Raw genomic sequence first — 20801 nt, forward strand, 5'->3', positions numbered from 1 at the left:
ATCACCTGAGGTTGAGAGTTCGAGACCAGCCTGACCGACATGAAGAAACCCTGTCTCTACTAAAAATACAAAATTAGGCCGGGCACAATAGCTCATGCCTGTAATCCCAGCACTTTGGGAGGCTGAGGCAGGAGAATCGCTTGAACCCAGGAGGCGGAGGTTGCGGTGAGCCGAGATCGTGCAGTTGCACTCCAGCCTGGAAAACAAGAGCGAAACTCCGTCTCAAAATACATAAATAAATAAGCAAGTCAGGCATGGTGGTGCATGCCTGTAGACTCAGCTATTTGGGAGGCCGAGGTGTAGCGGGATTTTAAGGAATCAGAGAGACCAGTGGGGTTCAGGAGGATATTTATTAATTATTTAGGTGCATCGGCCCAGTCAGATTAACATCCAAAGGACTGAGCCCTGAACAAAGAGTTAAGTTACCTTTTAAGCATTTTGTGGGGTGGGGGGAGATCTGTGCAGGGGGAAGCATATTACAGAAGCAAGAAACAAAGACAGTTATTAAATTAATTGAGACATGCATTACATCATTTCTTTTTTTTTTTTTTTTTTTTGAGACAGAGTTTCACTCTTGTTGCCCAGGCTGGAGTGCAATGGCGTGATCTCAGCTCACTGCAACCTCTGCCTCCCGGGTCCCGGTTCAAGCAGTTCTCCTGCCTCAGCCTCCTGGGTAGCTGGGATTACAGGCACGCGCCACCACACCCAGCTAATTTTTGTATTTTTAGTACAGACAGGGTTTCACCATGTTGGCCAGGCTGGTCTCGAACTCCTGACCTCGTGATCCGCCCGCCTCGGCCTCCCAAAGTGCTGGGATTACAGGCGTGAGCCACTGTGCCCGGCCGCATTACATCATTTCTTACTTTTCAAGGAGAAGCATGTTTTACGACTTGAGTTTATCTGTCTAGTGACCTTGTAACTGCACAGCTAGTGAAACAGGGTCTTCACAATGCCTGGGAAAGGAGGAGAGATAAGGCTTCCTAGCCACAGAAAAACAGGCAGTTAATTTTTAAAGAACTCCAGCTCTTTCTCTTTCTCAGGGGGAATTGGGTTTTCTTACATACAACTGAGTTTCTACTTACACATTCTTTAATTTCTTTTAATTCCTGTTCCAGAGGCAGGAGGATCCCTTGAGCCTAGGAGTTCGAGGTTACAGTGAGCTTTGATTGCTGCCATGCACTCCAGCCTGGATGACAGAGCAAGACCCTGTCTCTATTAAAAAAATTAAAAAGGCCAGGTGCAGTGGCTCACGCCTGTAATCCCAGGATTTTGGGAGGCTGAGGCCAGTGGATCACCTGAGGTCAGGAATTCAAGACCAACCTGGCCAAAATTTAAAAAATAAAATGAGGCTGATGAGGCAGATGTCTTGCTTAAAGTCAAACAGCTCTGGAAGTGTCAGAGCTGGGATTTGATCCCAGGTATGTTTGGCACCAAAGTCTATACCCTTAATTATTGCACTAGACTTTTGGAAACAATTTTTTAACTTTTTTTTTTTTTTGAGATGGAGTTTTACTCTTCTCGCCCAGGCTGGAGTGCAATGGCGTGATCTCGGCTTACTGCAACCTCTGCCTCCCAGGTTCAAGCAATTCTCCTGCCTCAGCCTCCCAAGTAGCTGGGATTACAGGCGCCTGCCACCACGCCTAGCTAATTTTTGTATTTTTGGTAGCAATGGGGTTTCACCATGTTGGCCAGGCTGGTCTCCAACTCCTGACCTCAGGTGGTCTGCTCACCTGGGCCTCCCAAAGTGCTGGGATTACAGGCGCGTGAGGCACCGCGCTGGGCCACCATTGTTCTTTTTAAATGAAATCTTGTAAGAAACCTTACTACGGCTGGGCATGGTGGCTCACGCCTGTAATCCCAGCACTTTGGGAGGCCGAGGCGGGCGGATCACGAGGTCAGGAGATCGAGACCATCCTGACTAACATGGTGAAACCCCGTCTCTACTAAAAATACAAAAAATTAGCTGGGCACAGTGGTGGGCGCCAATAGTCCCAGCTACTCGGGAGGCTGAGGCAGGAGAATGGCGTGAACCCAGGAGGCGGAGCTTGCAGTGAGCCGAGACTGCGCCACTGCACTCTAGCCTGGGTGACAAAGCGAGACTCTTTCTCAAAAAAAATAAAAATAAAAATAAAAATAAAAATAAAAATAAAAATAAAGAAAATTAACCGGGCATGGTGGCAGGCGCCTGTAATCCCAGCTACTCGGGGAGGCTGAGGCAGGAGAATTGCTTGAACTTGGGAGGCAGAGGTTGCAGTGAGCCGAGATTGTGCCATTGCACTCCAGCCTGACAACAAGAGCGAAACTCCATCTCAGGAAAAAAGAAAAGAAAGAAACCTTACTACATAAAATAGACAACAATTTTTTTTTTTTTTTTGAGACGGAGTCTCACTCCATCGCCAAGGCTGGAGTGCAGTGGTGCAATCTCAGCTCATTGCAACCTCTGTCTCCCAGGTTGTAGCTATTCTCCTGTCTCAGCCTCCCGAGTAGCTGGGACTACAGGAGCCTGCCACCAAGCCTGGCTAATTTTTGTATTTTTAGTAGAGACAGGGTTTCACCTTGTTGGTCAGACTGGTCTCAAACTCCTGACTTCAGGTGATCCACCTGCCTTGGCCTCCCAAAGTGCTGGGATTACAAGTGTGAGCAGTGGCGCCCAGCCGACGACAATGTTTTATTGGTGTTAATTTATTTTTAGGTTTAAAGTATAACATTAGCTTATACAGTCAATCAAAGACAGTTCCATGTGCAAAGTACATACTCAATAAAGATTTGAATACAGAGCTACTGAAATGGGGAAGATGGATGGAGGTTACAATGCACTTACCATCTGCAGCACCTATTTTAACCCCTCCAAGTTGGGTTGACTGTAAAGTGAACCAGTTCTGATCCTATAGAGAAGTCATTGTGAATGGTAACAATTTTTTAAAAATCCGCTTGCTTTTCAGACTCGGCATATAAATTAAATTAACAACAACAAATAACCATGAGTCCAGAAGTTGGCCCAAGATTGACTTCACCTATCTACAAATTAACCCTTTGCATCTCTTCTTTGATGGAGGCCAAATTCAACACATGGAGTGTTGAAATTATTCTAAGTGCAGTTTTAAAAAATAGATTTTGTTAATGAAAATTAAGTCTATCCTTTGCGGAGTTCCAGAGGCACTTCCAGAAACCTCTGTTGGAAAGCATTGTTTACCCAAGCTCGCATTACAGAGTCCCCTTTCCCCCAACCAGAAACTTGAAACTTTCTCCCTATTTCCCGCGATCCTTCCTTTTTCTATCACCGACCCGTCTCGCAGGCAGCGGTCAAGTTACTTTGAGCGACAAATAGACCCACCCCTTCAGGAGAGTGCCCGTCCCCGCCCCGAAGAGGTTGATTGGCAGGCCACGCTCGGAGATCCGCCAGCCGCGTAGCCCAGTTTCGGGAGAGTCCGCCCCCGACCCGCCCCCGACCCGCCCCGTAGGCTTGTTTTGGCGTCAGCTGCGCGCTGTGATGACGCCACGACGCTAACGCCCGAGAATGGCGGCGGCGGCGGCGGCGGCGGCGGCCGCTGCCATTGCCCGGAGATGGCCGGCAGAGCCGCCGAGACGCCGAAGAGCCCGCCGCCCGCGCGAGGTGAGGCGGCCCGGCCCAGGACGACGGCCCGACGGGCGGGAGGGGCAGCCGAACTGTGGTCGTGGTCGCTTTCTGGCGCTCCGGGGCCTGCCCCTGGTCAGCCTGCAGCGTCGGCCCGTGCCCCGTGCGCCAGGGCCTACAGGGTTGGAGAGCAGGCCGGGCGATGGCTGCTCGGGTTCCCGGCGTCCGAGTCTGGACTGGCCTCGGAACGTGCTGTCGTGCTGGATAGCCCGTCTCCAGGCCCGCTTGGGCCTGGTGGACGTGGTCGGTTGCCCTGCCTGCTTGCTGTTCAGCCGCCCCGCGTCCAGAGCGGGTCAGGTTGATCCAACCTGGTTGTCCTTGTCCTTACTGCCTTCTCGCGCCCGGCGCCTACTCCACACCCCTCCTTTGCGTCTGCCAGGGGCCGGCGGGGCAGCTGATCGCTTCCTTGTGCAGGCTGGGAAATAGCAGGTCTGAGTCCAGCTGGGTTGCTTGCTTGGCAAGCTTGTCATTCCTCTACCTGCAAGGGGAAGCCTAGTCCCCCACACTTAGTCCCCCTCCATAAAGCGGCTGAAGTGATAATTCCCACCTGAAAATCTGAGTAAGTCCTTCACTGCCTGAAACTAGTTCCTTAGTGCCTTCAGGACAAAGGCCGCACTTCTTAGCAAGGCATTCAGGGCTCTTCGTAATCTGGTGAAGGTTTAACCAGCCAATCAACACCGGAGCACTTCTGTGCTCCCTTTACGTAGTTTATTGTTGTTAAAACGTGTGGCGCTCCTGTTAGCTCTGGTTTCATACCTTTGTGTTTTAGTATTACTAATTTTGAGACAAGGCCTCTATTGCCCAAGCTGGAGTGCAATGGCTCATTCATAGCTCACTGCAGCCTTGAACTCCTGGACTCAAATGATCCTCCCGCCTCAACCTCCCGAGTAGCTGAGACAAGAGGCACTCCCCTCCACGCCTGGCTAAGTTTAAAATTTTTTGTAGAGCCAGGGAGTCTGGCTTTGTTGCCAGAGCTGGCTTCAAGAGACCCTCCTGCCTAGGCTCCTAACATATTGAGATTATTAATACAAGCGTGAGCCACTGTGCTTGGTCCCCTTGTGCTTTAGATAACGCAGTTTTCTCAGTTTGCTATACACTGCCTTCCACCCCACCGACCACCTACCAGTGTTGGAAACTTACATCTGTCCTATAAAATCCACCTGAGATGTCACTTCCTAGGAAAAAAATCTACCTTGCTTGGCATGTAACCATTAACTCCTCTATATCCATGCTGCTACTATTGAGTACATCCTGTTGTGTCACATGGTGGTCTTCTGTCTGCATATGTCTGGCTCTGTGCCTGGCATAAAATAGGGGCTAGCCTCCAGTAGCATTTGCTGAATGCTGACTTATGAATGGATAGATTCAACTGTATTTTTGAGCACCTATCAGGGCTAGGATCTAAGATGAGCACAGCAAATGCCAGCGTATGTGTGTGGTAGGTAGTACAGCCTCTTAATCCTGGATAGTCCAAAATCTCCTGGGATAATTTTGTGATACAAAATCAAGAGCCTTACTGTCTGAGTTAGTTTTTTTTTTTTTTTTTTTTTGAGACGGAGTTTTGCTCTTTTTGCCCAGGCTGGAGCAATGGCGCGATCTTGGCTCACTGCAACCTCTACCCCCCAGGTTCAAGTGATTCTCCTGCCTCAGCCCCCAGAGTAGCTGGGGTTACAGGCAAGCACCACTATGCCCAGCTAATTTTGTATTTTTAGTAGAGATGGTGTTTCACCGTGTTGGCCAGGCTGGTCTCGAACTCCTGACCTCAGGTGATCCACCTGCCTCGGCCTCCCAAAGTGCTAGGGTTGCAGGCATAAGCCACTATGCCTGGCTGAGATTTTTTTTTTTTTGTTTAAACAGAGACGAGGTCTCGCCATGTTGCCGAGGCTGGTGTCGAACTCCTGGGCTCAAGCAGTCCTCCCACCTTGGCCTCCCGAAGTTTTAGGGTTACAGGCAAGAGCCACCACACCTGACCCACTCTTTGAGATTTTGATGAAGAAGATCTGGGGTAGGAATCTGTATTTTTTTTTTTTTTCTGAGATGGAGTCTTGCTCTGACACCCAGGCTGGAGTGCAGTGGTGCGATCTCGGCTCACTGCAACCTCCGCCTCCCAGGTTCAAGCGATTCTCCTGCCTCAGCCTCCCGAGTAGCTGGGATTACAATCACGCATCACCACGCCCAGCTAATTTTTGTATTCTTAGTAGAGACGGGATTTCATCCTGTTGGCCAGGCTGGTCTTGAACTCTTGACCTCGTGATCCACCCGTCTCAGCCTCCCAAAGTGCTGGGATTACAGGCGTGAGCCACCATGTCTGGCCAGGTATCTGTATTTTGAGAAAACTTCCCAGGTAACTTTACTGTGCTTCCTCATTGAAGATCTTTGTCATTGCCTAAGAAAACTGTTGTCTCCTTTGTCCAGTGAGAAGGCCTTGCCTTGTGGACTCCTGTTGTGGTCTCATGCCTAGAAGCATGGGCTTTGGTGTCAGAAAGACCTGGATTCAGTTTCTGGCTTTTCTGAAATCTTGAGGTTCTCTAAGTCCTAATTTCCTTATTCCAAAATAGGAATCATCGTGCCTACTACATGTGCTTGTAGAGAGGAGTGAGATGGTACATATAAGATCCTTAGCAAAGTTGGCACTCAGTTAATGGAAGCCACTTTTATTACTAATGGCTCCTCTTCCCAGAGTTTCCCTTGTCAAAAGAAGGTCTTGTCTTCTTTTTTCTTTTCTTTTTTTTTTTGAGATGATGTCTCGCTCTGTCGCCAGGCTGGAGTGCAATGGCGTGAGCTCGGCTCACTACAACCTCCGCCTCCCAGGTTCAAGCAATTCTCCTGTCTCAGCCTCCTCAGTAGCTGGGACTACAGATGCCTGCCACCACACCTGGCTAATTTTTGTATTTTTAGTAGAGACGAGGTTTCACCGTATTGCTCAGGCTGGTCTCAAACTCCTGACCTCAGGTGATCCACTCACCTCGGACTCCCAAAGTGCTGGGATTACAAGCATGAGCCACCACAACCGGCTAGAAGGTCTTGTCTTAATAAGCGTGTTTGTTCTTCAGGGTTAGTTGTGTGTAGGAAGCTGCTTTGTATTGTGTGATTTCCTCAAGGTCATTTCTGGTCATCGGGGAAAACTGACAATAGTGTGCTTCTTTTTTTTTTTTTTTTTTTTTTTTGAGACGGAGTTTTGCTCTTGTTGCCCAGGCTGGAGTGCAATGGCTCAATCTTGGCTCACCGCAACCTCTGCCTCCCGGGTTCAAGCGATTCTCCTGCCTCAGCCTCCCGCAATATGGTGCCTCTAAATCAGGGTCGATTCAGTTGGCCATACCCCTAGAAGAGATTTGGAATGCTGATTCACTAGAGGGTGGGTTTGCTGAATAAGCATATTGTCTAGGTCTAATTGTAGTTTTGTGCTTGTTAAGTTGCATAAATGAGCTAGAAAAAGTGCAGCCTTCAGGAAACCTGTTTGCATCTGACACTGAGCTCCAGTTGCACTTCACCTCAGGCATCTGGTTGGCATCTAGAACAGAATGCCCCTACAGAAGTAGGTGCTGGAGTTCTCTATCATAATCACAAGTTCATAGTTAAATGAGTGAGACTTTGGTTTGGCCTTCTGTTTTACTTTGGAAGTGTGAGTGTGTAATATGGGCAACTTAGGTCCTCTTCACAGCTTCTCAGCTGTATGATGTGAATGGGCTATAGGTGTGCCAAAGTATCGACCCTTAAGCTTCAGGATAGCTGAGAACAGCTGTCTCCACTGACTCCCGGGTGTTATACAATAGTATCATTCTATCATTCTCTCTGTGTATCTTGGCATGGGGAAAAATTTTTGAGAAAAAGTACAGCTCTGGAAGAAGGGAAGCAGTTCTGCTTGTTGAGAGCTGGAGAGAGACTTATTTATTTGAACTCCCTTTCCTTCCAGGAATCTTACTCAAGGAGCATTAAGCCGGTTTGTGTTGGCTAGGTCATCACTGAGCTAATTCTTGGTACAGCCCTCTGTTGCCATGGTGTCTGATGTGATGCTAAGGTGGAAACATGTGATGTTTTCATTTGCTGGGAGAAAGTTTTCTTTCCAAGCTGCCAGCCTTGAAATGGCCTCTCAGGGCATCCTAAGAGTCATGTATCAAGGGACTCTTGGTGTGGAGCCATCCAGGCTGTAAGTTCCTTAAGATTAGAGACTATGGCCGCCTTCTTTTTGTTTGTCGCAATCTCTGGCAGAGTTCCTGACCCACAGCAGGAATTCAGTAAATATTTCTGGGTTGAACGTTGGGATTTTGGAAGGAGAACCCCAGGTACATTGCCAGGGTCTGTATTTCTGATGATGGCGAGGTCTCACTCTGTTGCCCAGGCTGGAGTGCAGTGGCATAATCATAGCTCACTGCAACCTTGCCTTCCCGTGCTCAAGTGATTCTCCCACCTCAGCCTCCTGAGTGGCTGGGACTACAGGCACACAGCATCACACCCAGCTAATTTTGTTTTTTTGAGACGGAGTCTTGCTTTGTTGCCCAGGCTGGAGTGTAGTGGCGCCATCTTGGCTCATTGCAAGCTCTGCCTTCCGGGTTCATGCCATTCTCCTGCCTCAGCCTCCCGAGTAGCTGGGACTACAGGTGCACGCTACCACGCCCGGCTAATTTTTTTTGTATTTTTTAGTAGAGACGGGGTTTCACTGTGTTGGCCAGGCTGGTCTTGAACTCTTGACCTCATGATCCACCTGGCTCAGACTCCCAAAGTGCTGGGATTACAGGCGTAAGCCACCGCGCCCAGCCACACCCAGCTAATTTTTTAAACATTTTTTGTAGAGAGGCCAAGACAGGCAGATCACTTGGGCTCAAGAGTTCGAGAACAAGCCTGGGCAACATGGTGAAACCCTGTCTCTACTGAAAATACAAAGATTAGCCAGGCATCCTAGGTACTCGGGGGCTGAGGCACGAGAACCGCTTGAACCTGGGAGGAGGAGGCTGCAGCGAGCCGAGATTGCGCCACTGCGCTCCAGCCTGGGTGACAGAGTGAGACCCTGTCTCAAAAAAAAGAAAAAACTTTTTTTTTTTTGTAGAGACAAGGTCTTGTTATGTTGCCCAGCCTGGTTTCAAACTCTTGGCCTCAAGTGATCCTCCTGCCCTGGCCCCCAGAGTGTTGGGATTATAGTTGTGTGCCACTGCGTCCAGCCTTATTTCTGTAATTATTGAGAAATTACTACCTACTTCATTTTAGTAGACAGTTTTTCTTTCTTTTTCTTTCTTTCTTTTTTTTTTTTTTTGGAGATGGAGTCTCGCTCTGTTGCCCAGGCTGGAGTGCAGTGGCGCGATCTCAGCTCACTGCAACCTCTGCCTTCCGGGTTCAAGCAGTTCCCTGCCTCAGCCTCCTGAGTAGCTGGGATTACAGGCATGTGCCACCACACCCAACTAATTTTTGTATTTTGAGTAGAGACAGGGTTTCACCATCTTGGCCAGGCTGGTCTTGAACTCCTGACCTCGTGATCCGCCTGCCTCAGCCTCCCAAAGTGCTGGGATTACAGGTGTGAGCCGCTGCGCCCAGCCGGTAGACAGTTTTTCAAAACATGTCAGTAGAATATAGAGATATTTGCAGGTGACAGGTTATAAAGCTTTGCTTGGAGAGGGCAAGGTTCCTATGGTTCCTTGCCTGGAAGACATTCACAGACCCTGCCTCTATGGATAGGAAATTGTTTCAGGATTCATCCTTGCTCCCTGCCCCGGGACCCCTAGCTTTCCCCAGAAATGGGGCTAGGTTTGGCAGCTTGTGAACAAACTTACTTTGGCATTCAGATAAGAATCTGTAAAACTCAAACAGACTTCCTTCATTGTTGAGGATATTTACAGGGTGTCCAAAGAGTGTGGCTATGGTTTAACCACCGATCTTGCCTCTTCAACATTTCTAAGGTTCTAGAATTGTTGACTTGCAGCAAATAGAAATCCAAGAGCCAGACCACATTTTTTTTTTTTTTTTTTTTTTGGAGACGAGTCTCGCTCTATGGCCCAGGCTGGAGTGCAGTGGCGCAATCTCGGCTCACTGCAAGCTCCTTCTCCCGGGTTCACGCCATTCTCCTGCCTCAGCCTCCTGAGTAGCTGGGACTACAGGCGCCTGCCACCACACCGGGCTAATTTTTTGTATTTTTAGTAGAGACCGGGTTTCACCATGTTAGCCAGGATGGTCTCAATCTCCTGTCCTCGTGATCGGCCCGCCTTGGCCTCCCAAAATGCCGGGATTACAGGCATGAGCCACTGTGCCAGCCCACATTTCTTTTATTTATTTATTTATTTTTTTGAGATGGAGTCCTGCTCTGTTGCCCAGGCTGGAGTGCAGTGGCGTGATCTCGGCTCACTGCAACCTCTGCCTCTCAGGTTCAAGCGATTTTCCAGCCTCAGCCTCCCAAGTAGCTGGGATTCCAGGTGTCCACCACCACACTTGGCTAATTTTTTTGTATTTTTAGTAGAGATGGGGTTTCACCATGTTGGACAGGTGGTTTCAAACTCATGACCTCAAGTGATCCACCTGCCTCGGCCTCCCAAAGTGCTAGGATTCCAGGCATGAGCCACTGTGCCCTGCCTGTTTTTCTTTTTCTTTCTTTTTATTTTCTTGAGACGGAGTGCTGCCCTGTCGCTTAGGCTGGAGTGCAGTGGCATGATCTCAGCCTACTGCAACCTCTGCTTCCCAGGGTCAAATGATTCTCCTGCCTCAGCTTCTGAGTAGCTGGGATTACAGGTGCCCACTACCATGCCCAGGAAATTTTTTTGTATTTTTAGTAGAGATGGGTTTCACCATGTTGGCCAGGCTGATCTTGTACTCCTTACCTCAGGTGATCCACCTGCCTTGGCCTCCCAAAATGCTGTGATTATAGGCGTGAGCCACTGCGCCCGGCCAGACCACATTTCATTTGCTCTGAGTTCAGCAATTTGATAAGTACCAAGGGAGTTCTGGAAACCTGAGAATGGCCCCTTCCCTCAAGGGTCTGACAGCTGTAGTGATCAAAGGCAGTCTGGAGTAGAGCAGTGAGCAGTGTGACTCAGATTATAGTTGGAATGGAGGTTTCTAAAGCAGACCCTTCAGGAAAGATCCTCAGGAAAGCTTTGTGGGTTCACCAACTCAGTGGCATGGGGAAGGATCAAGGCCTTGACTGGATGAGGCCCAGCACTGCTGGAGTCTTTCCGGAGTGATAGAAGGAGCCCCAGATGGGGAACTAGGATATTTGGGTCCAGGATATTTGGTCACCACCGTCTGAGTGGCTTTGGACGAGTCTCTTTACCTCTCCTGGACTGTCATTTCTGTAGATTGTCAGTGAGGACGATAATGCTGAATGCTCATACCCATTGCCACACTCTGTCCAATGTGCGTGCCTTCTTTGAAGAGTGCTTTGGACCAGGCTGGGAGTTTAAGTTTTGGAGGCAGACTCTAGAGAGTTGGGTACTTTCTGCAAGATGACATACTGTGACACTCCTGGGAAGTCTCTTCCTGAAGCTTCCTTACTCATCCTTGCCCATCCCTACACCTACCGTGATCTCTGGGCTAGGGGCACACACAAGAGATGCTGGGAACAGGAAAAGGCTCTGCTCTTCTTCCTAGGAGCTTTACCAGCCACCTCCCGTGTTATAGAGTCTGCATTTTCACCTGACCACAGTGTGGAGAGGGAGTTTAACAGATGTGATGGGACTGTGGAGCAGCTGTGATCACCTGGGGGCTGTTGCCCATTGTCCCCACCTCTCAGCCAGCACCCTCTCTTCTCTACTTTCTTTTTTTTTTCCCCTCTCTTGGCCAATTTGGTCTAATATCCTCCAGTTTCAATCTGTAGTTGGGATGGTGGAGTACCCGCATCAGCCTATCTTTACAGAGTTTCTGATTGGAATCAATGTGAGAGAAACTATGTCTCAGGAAGACAGAAGGAAGATCAGAGGGAAAATCATTGACTCTCTTATTGCCGACTGACTTTATTTTGTTTTCTTTCTTTCTTTAAGAGACGGAGTTTCGCTCTATCGCCCAGGCTGGAGTGCAGTGGCGCGATCTCAGCTCACTGCAACCTCCGCCTCCTGGGTTCAAGCAATTCTCCTGCCTCAGCCTCCTGAGTAGCTGCGACTGCAGGCTCATGCCACCACGCCTGGCTAATTTTTTTTGTATTTTAGTAGAGACGGGGTTTCACCGTGTTGCCCAGGCTGGCTCAAACTCCTGAGCTCAGGCAATCCACCTGCCTTGGCCTCCCAAAGTGCTAGGATTACAGGCGTGAGCCACCATGCCCAGCCTATTTTTTTTTTTTTTTTTGGAGACATGGTCTTGCTCTGTTGCCCAGGCTGGAGTGCCATAGCACAAACACAGCACACTGCAGCCTCGACTTCCCTGGCTCAAGCTATCCTCCACCTCAGCTTCCTGAGTATCTGGGACTACAGGTGCATGCCACCACGCCTGACTAATTTTTTGTAGAGATGGAGGTCTCACTACATTGCCCTGGCTGGTCTCAGACTCCAGGGCTCAAGTAATCCTCCCACCTTGGCCTCCCAGAGTGCTAGGATCACAGTGTAAACCACTGCGCCCTGATGCTGACTTACCTTTGATCCCTGTAGGTTTTATTTGTTTAAAGTGAAAAGTGAGGCCGGGTGCAGTGGCTCACACCTGTAATTCCAACACTTTAGGAGGCGGAGGTGGGCGGATCACTTGAGGCCAGGAGTTTAAGACCAGTCTGGCCAATGTGTTGTAACCCTGTCTCTACTAAAAATACAAAAATTAACCAAGCATGGTGGCACATGCCTGTAGTCCCAGCTACTTGGGAGGCTGAGGCACGAGAATTGTTTGAACCTGGGAAGTGGAGGTTGCAGTGAGCTGAGATCGTGCCACTGCACGCCAACTTAGGTGATAAAGCGAGACTCCATCTCAAAAAAAAAAAAAGAAATAAAAATGAATCGAAAAGTTAGACCTTTTGTTTTTTGTTTTTTTGAGACAGTCTCGATCTCTCACCCAGGCTGGAGTACAGTGGTGCGATCTCGGCTCACTGCAGCCTCCCTGGTTCAAGCGATTCTCCTACCTCAGCCTCCTGAGCAGCTGGGATTACAGGCGCGTGCCATCACGTCCGGGGCTAATTTTTGTATTTTTAGTAGAGACGGGGTTTCACCCATGTTGGTCAGGCTGGTCTCAAACTCTTGACCTTGTGATCCGCCCACCTCAGCCTCCCAAAGTGCTGGGATTACAGGCCTGAGCCACTGCGCCCAGCCAGGCCTTTTCTTTTATAAACCTTAGGTTTTTCCCTGAGGACCAGACTAGGTCCTCATTTAAACAAAAATTTAAACAAAAATACCCAGTACATGTGCCTGTAGATGACTGTTTATTTTGTGAATCTAGGGTTCTGCTTCTTCACCAGGAAGAAGTGACATCTGAGTGGCTGTGCTGGGTTACTCATGCAGTTTGTCTTGCCTCCGAATGGTGGTAGATGTTGTTACTGAGTGGTCGTGGGCATCGGGGTGAGGGACCTGTGTTCTGCCTCAGGAATACCAGCCCAAGAGGAGCTTCAGTCCTTCACTGCATGAGGTGTTGTGTTTTCCCTGAAAGAAGAAATAAGTCTGCAAAATTCCACAGTCCGTAGTTCTATCCTGTGGCCTCTGCGAAAAGGAACCTTGGTTCTAAATGCCTTTGTTTAACATTATTTCCTAGTTGCCATGTGGAACTTCCTGTGCATTTGGGTGAGAACAGCTGCAAATCCTGAAGAGCCTTGTGGAGGAATCTTTTCCTCTTATGTGAAGAAAAATAAACAATATTTTTTTTTGGTTTGGTTTGGTTTTGCTTTGTTTTTCAGACAGGATTTCTGTCTCCCAGGCTGGAATATAGTGGTACCATCACCGCTCACTGCAACCTCAACCTCTTGGACTGAAGCAGATCCTCCCACCCTAGCCTCCTAAGTAGCTGGGATCACAGGCACATGCCACCATGTCTGACTCAATTTAAAAAATGTTTGGCAGAGATAGGGTCTTTCTGTGTTGCCCAGGCTGGTCTTGAACTCCTGGACTCAAGTAGTCCTCACGCCTTGGCCTCCCAAAGTGCTGGGATTACAGGCATGAGCCACTATGCCCCATAGATAAACCTCATTTTTTCCTCTCTCTCTCTTTTTGAGATGGAGTCTTGCTCTTTTGCCCAGGCTGGAGTGCAGTGGCACAGTCTCAGCTCACTGCAACCTCCGCCTCCCAGGTTTAAGCGATTCTCCTGTCTCAGCCTCCCCAGACATCAGATTCTGTATCTAGTAACCCACAGTAAATGTCACATGGATGGTCTACATGCACCCCACACATCCAAAACTGAACTCTTTCCACTGCTTCCCAAATCTGTGCTTCTTGCTACACTCCTGACCACTTGCCGCTGAGCTGTGCAAGGGACGGGGTGCTGTCCTCATTCTTCCTTCCACCCAACATGGAAGTTCTGCTGCTGATAGCTCTCGATTCCACTCCACTGCTTGGGGCACTACACTCTTTTTTTTTTTTTTTTTTTTCCTTTTTGAAACAGGGTCTTTCTCTGTCACCCAGGCTGGAGTGTAGTGGTGTGATTATCGCTCACTGCAGCCTTGATCTCTTGGGCTCAAGCAGTCCTCCTGCCTTGGCCTCCAAAGTAACTGGGACTACAGGTGCATACCATCATACCCAGCTGATTTTTTTTTTTTTTTTTGAGACGGAGTCTTGCTCTGTTGCCCAGGCTGGAATGCAGTGGCATGATCTTGGCTCACTGCAACCTATGCCTCCCAGGTTCAAACAATTCTCCTGCCTCAGCCTCCAGATTAGCTGAGATTACAGGCGCCTGCCACAATGCCTGGCTAATTTTTGTATTTGTATTTGTATTTTTTATATATTTTTTGAGACTGAGTCTCACTCTGTCACCCAGGCTGGAGTGCAGTGGCGCGATCTTGGTGGCTCGCTGCAACCTCTGCCTCCTGGGTCCAAGTAATTCTGCCTCAGCCTCCTGAGTAGCTGGGATTACAGGCATGCGCCACCACGCCCGACTAATATTTTTGTATTTTTTTGGTAGAGATGGGGTTTTACCATATTGGCCAGACTGGTCTCGAACTCCTGACCTTGTGATCCGCCCACCTCGGCCTCCCATAGTGCTGGGATTACAGGCATGAGCCACCGCGCCCCGCCTAATTTTTGTATTTTTAGTAGAGACAGGGTTTCTCCATGTTGGTCAGGCTGGTCTCAAACTCCCTACCTCAGGTGATTCGCCTGCCTCAGCCTCCCAAAGTGCTAGGATTACAGGCGTGAGCTGCCGTGCCTGGCCTACCCAGCTAATTTTTTAATCTTGTAGGGACAGGGTCTCACTGTGTTGTCCAGGCTAGTCTCAAACTCCTGCACTCAAGCTATCCCCCCACCTCAGCCTCCCAAAGAGCTGGGATTACTCCCGGTGCTGGGATGGCCACACCTGGCCAATGGGACACCACACTCTTACTGGTCCTTTTTTAATTTTTTTTTTTTTTTTTTTTTTTGAGACAAAGTCTCGCTCTGTCGCCCAGGCTAGAGTGCAGTGGCGTGATGTCTGCTCACTGCAACCTCTGCCTCCCGCATTCACGCCATTCTCCTGCCTCAGCCTCCCGAGTAGCTGAGACTACAGGCACCCACCACCACGTCCGGCTAATTTTTTGTATTTTTAGTGGAGACGGGGTTTCACTGTGTTAGCCAGGATGGTCTCGATCTCCTGACCTCATGATCCACCCGCCTCGGCCTCCCAAAGTGCTGGGATTACAGGCATGAGCCACTGTGCCCAGCTCTTACTGGCCCTTTTAATCCACTTTGACCCTCCTTCAGGTCAACCTCATCCTTCTCTCTAAACACAGATCTGAATGCCTCTTTTCTTGTAAACCCTTTCGTAGCTCTCCTTCACTTCCCAGGAAGGTCCTGGTCCTCACTTGTGTTGCTCTCCATAACCACCTTCTGCTGACCTTCTATAACTTCATCTCCACATCCCTGCCTTTGTACCACCAAACTGCCCATTCCTAGATGCAGGATGTTACTCTGGGTTTCTGAGCCTTTGCAGTGTGTTATTCTCTCTCCCTGAAACACCATTCCCACCTTTCCTCATCTGACTCATTCTTGCTTCAAAATTCAGCATAGAGGTTACCTCCTTCAGGAAGGTTTTCCTAACCCCGACTTCACTCTACATTATATACTATTGGTTCTTAAGCTTAACACTTAACCATGTTATACTGAAATTATGTTTTTGGCTGGGCACAGTGGCTCACACCTGTTATCCCAGCACTTTAGGTGGCCAAAGCTGGCGGATCACTTGAGGTCAGGAGTTGGAGACCAGCCTGGCCAACATGAAACCCTTTCTCTCTACTAAAAATACAAAAATCACCCAGGCGAGGTGGCAGGTGCCTGTAATCCCAGCTACTTGGGAGGCTGAGGCATGAGAATCGCTTGAACCCGGGAGGCAGAGGCTGCAGTTAGCTGAGGTCGTGCCAGTGCACTCCAGCCTGGGTGAAGGAGACTCCATCTCAAAAAAAGAAAAACAAAATTATTTGTTTTTATGCTTTTCTCTTTATTTAGATTGTGAGTTTATTGACCATGTTCTACTTGTTTGTGTGTGTGTGTGTTAAAATATAACCTACCTTGGACCATGTTTTATTTATTCCTGTGCCCCTGGTATCTACTAGATATTTAATAATAAATGTTTTATCTGAATTGTTCATTTCTCTTCCAGTTCTATTTGTCATAATTTTTTTTTTTCTTTTTGAGACAGAGTTTCACTCTTGTTGCCCAGGCTGGAGTGCAATCACGCGATCTCGGCTACTCTAACCTCCGCCTCCCGGGTTCAAACAATTCTTCTGCCTCAGCCTCCCAAGTAGCTGGGATTACAGGCATGTGCCACCAAGCCCGGCTAATTTTGTATTTTTAGTAGAGACAGGGTTTCACCATGTTGGCCTGGCTGGTCTCGAACTCCCGACCTCTGGTGATCCACCCGCCTTGGCCTCCCAAAGTGCTAGGATTACAGGCGTGAGCCTCCGCGCCCAGCCTTTTTTTTTTTTTCTTTTAAGACAGATCTCTGTTGCCCAGGCTGGAGTGCAGTGGCACAATCTTGGCTCACTGCAACCTCCACCAGGTTCAAGTGACTCTTCTGCCTCAGCCTCCCAAGTAGCTGGGGTTACAGGTGTGCATCACCATGCCCGGCTAATGTTTTTGTATTTTTAGTAGAGATGGAGTTTCACCATGTTGGCCAGACTGGTCTTGAACTCCTGACCTCAAGTGATCCGCCCACCTCGGCCTCCCAAAGTGCTGGGATTACAGGTGTGAGCTACCGGGCCCAGCCTGTGTGTCATAATTAATAGGAAATCCTTATCTCTCTTCAACCCTTGGGGTCCTCAGACATAGAGAAGAGCCCTCTCATTAGAAAGGTGGTGACCTCTGGAAGCAGTAACTTCAGCACTGCACCTTGTCCAGGGCCCCACCAGCCCCAGGGTATTTAGTTCATGGTTGGAACATCTCTGTCTGGGAATCAAACTGGAAGGGACCCTGGATCCCCATCATAAGGAAGCAAGATACCCTGATCTTCATCCTGAGTTAAATCTGGGTGAAACTGCCAGTGTCCTCTCTGAGCTCAAGCCCCTCTGACTCTTTTTTTTTTTTGAGACGGAGTCTCACTCTGTTGCCCAGGCTGGAGTGCAGTGGCAGGATCTCGGCTCACTGCAAGCTCCGCCTCCCGGGTTCACGCCATTCTCCTGCCTCAGCCTCCCGAGTAGCTGGGACTACAGGCGCCTGCCACCACGCCCGGCTAATTTTTTGTATTTTTAGTAGAGATGGGGTTTCACTGTGTTAGCCAGGATAGTCTCGATCTCCTGACCTTGTGATCCGCCCGCCTCGGTCTCCCAAAGTGCTGAGGTTACAGACCTGAGCCACCGCGCCTGGCCAACTCTTTTTTTTTTTGACATGGAGTCTCACTCTTTTGTCCAGGCTGGAGTGGGGTGGCGCAGTGTCAGCTCACAGCAACCTCTGCCTCCCGGGTTCAAGCAATTCTTCTGCCTCAGCCCCCCAAGTGGCTGGGATTACAGGCGCCCACCACCACACCCAGCTAATTTTTGTACTTGTAGTAGAAATGGGGTTTCACCATATTGGCCAGGCTGATCTCAAACTCCTGACCTCAGGTGATCTGCCCGCCTCGGCCTTCCAAAGTGATGGGATTACAGGCATGAGCCACTGTGCCCGGCCCCGCCTCTGACTCTTGAATGAAGACCAGGCGAGTTTTGCAGTCACTTGGTGGCAGTGTGCTGAGGCTTGTGGTCCCAAGTTCACTGGGGTTGATTCCAGCAGCTCTGGGCCTTGTGTGGGATTTCAGCCATCCATGTAGTGTGCTGGGGAAGTGAGAGACCCTGGAATAGGGAGTTAAACTGCCAGGGTGGGGACAGTGCATTAGCAAAGGAGTGGAAGCCTTCCAGGAGAATGAGGGAGAGCCCCAGGGAAGTGGTTTGTTGCTTGTTACAGAGGGACCAACCCCTGTAGGAAGCCTAAAGGGCTGGGAAAGATATGCATGAAGGAGGCCTTGGAGAAGCAGCTTTCTGAGCCCTGGTGGGTGATGGTGTTAGAGAGCAGGCCTCCAACACTTCACACCCCCATTTCAGAAAAGATGAGTCAAGAGTAATAAGAGGAATGATTTTAACATTTTAGAAACATGGGCCTTCGGCTAGGATAAGGGGCCCAGGCAGAGGAGTGAGGAGGGTGGGCGCCCTGACAGCTGAGGCTATGCGTGTTCCTGCCCCCTCTCAGGGTTGAAGAGCAGCATGAGACTGAGGCCCAGGGAGATGAGTCAAAGCCGTGAAGCTCGGGCCATCTTTTCAGCTAGACCCTGTGTTGAGTCTGGGCTCTTGAACAGCAAAGCCATACTCCCGACCAGGGAAATAAATGAGAGCCAGGACTTCAGTTTTTTGTTTGTTTGTTTGAGACAGAGTCTTACTCTGTCACCCAGGCTGGAGTGCAGTGGTGCAATCTCAGCTCACTGCAGCCTCCGCCTCCTGGGTTCAATCGATTCTTGTGCCTCAGCCTCCCGAGTAGGTGGGATTACAGATGTGTGCCACCACGCCTGGCTAATTTTTGTATTTTTAGTAGAGATGGGTTTTCACCATGTTGGCCAGCTGGTCTTGAACTCCTGACCTCAGGTAATCCACCTGCCTCAGCTTCCCAAGGTGTTGGGATTACAGGTGTGAGCCATCACGCCTGGCCAGGAGTTTGGTTTTAATGAGACTGAGTTTCTGGAGAGGGAGGGCTGAGGAGGATGGCTGATTTCCTTAGAGTTGGCCTGGCTGTGCTGACTTGTTCTCTCTTTGTGTGTAGGTGTAGACGGGGCACTGCCTTCAGAGCAGGTCCTGCCAGCCTCGCTGGAGAGGATGCCCTCGTGTCCGTGATGGGCTGTGGGACAAGCAAGGTCCTTCCCGAGCCACCCAAGGATGTCCAGCTGGATCTGGTCAAGAAGGTGGAGCCCTTCAGTGGCACTAAGAGTGACGTGTACAAGCACTTCATCACAGAGGTGGACAGTGTTGGCCCTGTCAAAGCCGGGTTCCCAGCAGCAAGTCAGTATGCACACCCCTGCCCCGGTCCCCCGACTGCTGGCCACACGGAGCCTCCCTCAGAACCACCACGCAGGGCCAGGGTAGCTAAGTACAGGGCCAAGTTTGACCCACGTGTTACAGCTAAGTATGACATCAAGGCCCTAATTGGCCGAGGCAGCTTCAGCCGAGTGGTACGTGTAGAGCACCGGGCAACCCGGCAGCCGTATGCCATCAAGATGATTGAGACCAAGTACCGGGAGGGGCGGGAGGTGTGTGAGTCGGAGCTGCGTGTGCTGCGTCGGGTGCGTCATGCCAACATCATCCAGCTGGTGGAGGTGTTCGAGACACAGGAGCGGGTGTACATGGTGATGGAGCTGGCCACTGGTGGAGAGCTCTTTGACCGCATCATTGCCAAGGGCTCCTTCACCGAGCGTGACGCCACGCGGGTGCTGCAGATGGTGCTGGATGGCGTCCGGTATCTGCATGCACTGGGCATCACACACCGAGACCTCAAACCTGAGAATCTGCTCTACTACCATCCGGGCACTGACTCCAAGATCATCATCACCGACTTCGGCCTGGCCAGTGCTCGCAAGAAGGGTGATGACTGCTTGATGAAGACCACCTGTGGCACGCCTGAGTACATTGCCCCAGAAGTCCTGGTCCGCAAGCCATACACCAACTCAGTGGACATGTGGGCGCTGGGCGTCATTGCCTACATCCTACTCAGTGGCACCATGCCGTTTGAGGATGACAACCGTACCCGGCTGTACCGGCAGATCCTCAGGGGCAAGTACAGTTACTCTGGGGAGGTGAGTCTGTCCTGCCCCTGTCCTGGATGTTGGGGAGGCACCTGCGGGGGCAGGTATATCCTGCAGCTCTCAGTCAGAGGTATGTCCTCAGGGCCATGCTCGTGAGGGCCAGGCAGGTCATATAAAAGGGACAAAGTGAGACTATCAGAATGTAGTTTGGGTTCCCTCAAGGTGAGCCCTGAGACAAGGACTTGGGAGCAGATAGTTTATTTGGGATGTGATTTGAGTAACTAAAAGTGAAGGAGTGGGAAAAGTGAGGCAGGAAGGGAGAAAGTCAGTAGAGTATATTGAGAAATGGACTGCCACTGTGGGCCACTGGGAACCTTGGTAATAACCATGTGGAATGTGCCTCATAGTTGTACCACCAAAGAGCAGGAACGTGAGTTTCTTTTTGTTTTGTTTTTTTTTTAATCCACTGACTCCTGTACTTCATGGGTTGAGAATTTCTTTGAGGACACTAAATCTCTGGTGCTTCTGGGCTGTCCTGATACCAACTAGTGCTAGAGAAAGTCTTCAGGCAGAGAAGCAGAGAGATGCAGGCACTGGCGGTGGGAAGCTGTTGCCAGGCACCAAGCAGTGTGCCACAGCTGCAGATGAGCTCAGGGGGTGGGCTGAGAGGATGTGGGCAGGGCCTTCCCAGCATCTGCTCTGTGGGGCCCCAGCCAAGCTAGACTGAACATGCCCATCTCAGAGAGCAGCTTCTCATCACTGTCCAGTTTCACCACACAATGAGGACCTCGTGTGTCCAGATCTGATTTTTTTTTAGAAGAGAAACCAGAAAATCTGATCTTTTATTTTTTGAGATGGAGTCTTGCTCTGTTGCCCAGGCTGGAGTTCAGTGGCACAATCTTGG

General features: G+C 49.9%; 1 protein-coding gene across 1 annotated transcript in view, besides 3 other annotated features; it reads left to right on the forward strand.

Moving 5' to 3' along the window:
* Positions 3233 to 3292: a silencer, noted in NCBI's record as "silent region_7631". NCBI's record gives its function as "represses an Ori minimal core promoter by ATAC-STARR-seq in GM12878 lymphoblastoid cells {active_cell/tissue: GM12878}" and the evidence as "EXISTENCE:reporter gene assay evidence [ECO:0000049][PMID:35858748]".
* Positions 3496 to 20801, forward strand: part of PSKH1 (protein serine kinase H1) — a 36423-nt gene continuing 19117 nt past the window's right edge. The window contains exons 1-2 of the mRNA NM_006742.3: positions 3496 to 3613; positions 18922 to 19948. Coding sequence (NP_006733.1) covers positions 18992 to 19948 — 957 coding nt within the window. The 5' untranslated portion in view covers positions 3496 to 3613; positions 18922 to 18991. The remainder of the gene's footprint in view (positions 3614 to 18921; positions 19949 to 20801) is intronic.
* Positions 3623 to 3742: a silencer, noted in NCBI's record as "silent region_7632". NCBI's record gives its function as "represses an Ori minimal core promoter by ATAC-STARR-seq in GM12878 lymphoblastoid cells {active_cell/tissue: GM12878}" and the evidence as "EXISTENCE:reporter gene assay evidence [ECO:0000049][PMID:35858748]".
* Positions 20472 to 20684: a silencer, noted in NCBI's record as "fragment chr16:67944133-67944345 (GRCh37/hg19 assembly coordinates)". NCBI's record gives its function as "represses an EF-1alpha promoter that drives an FKBP-Casp9 reporter gene in an ReSE screen in phorbol 12-myristate 13-acetate-treated (for megakaryocytic differentiation) K562 erythroleukemia cells {active_cell/tissue: K562(+PMA)}" and the evidence as "EXISTENCE:reporter gene assay evidence [ECO:0000049][PMID:32094911]".

This window comes from Homo sapiens, chromosome 16, assembly GCF_000001405.40.
Source record: "Homo sapiens chromosome 16, GRCh38.p14 Primary Assembly".
In the NCBI taxonomy this organism is placed as follows: domain Eukaryota; kingdom Metazoa; phylum Chordata; class Mammalia; order Primates; family Hominidae; genus Homo; species Homo sapiens.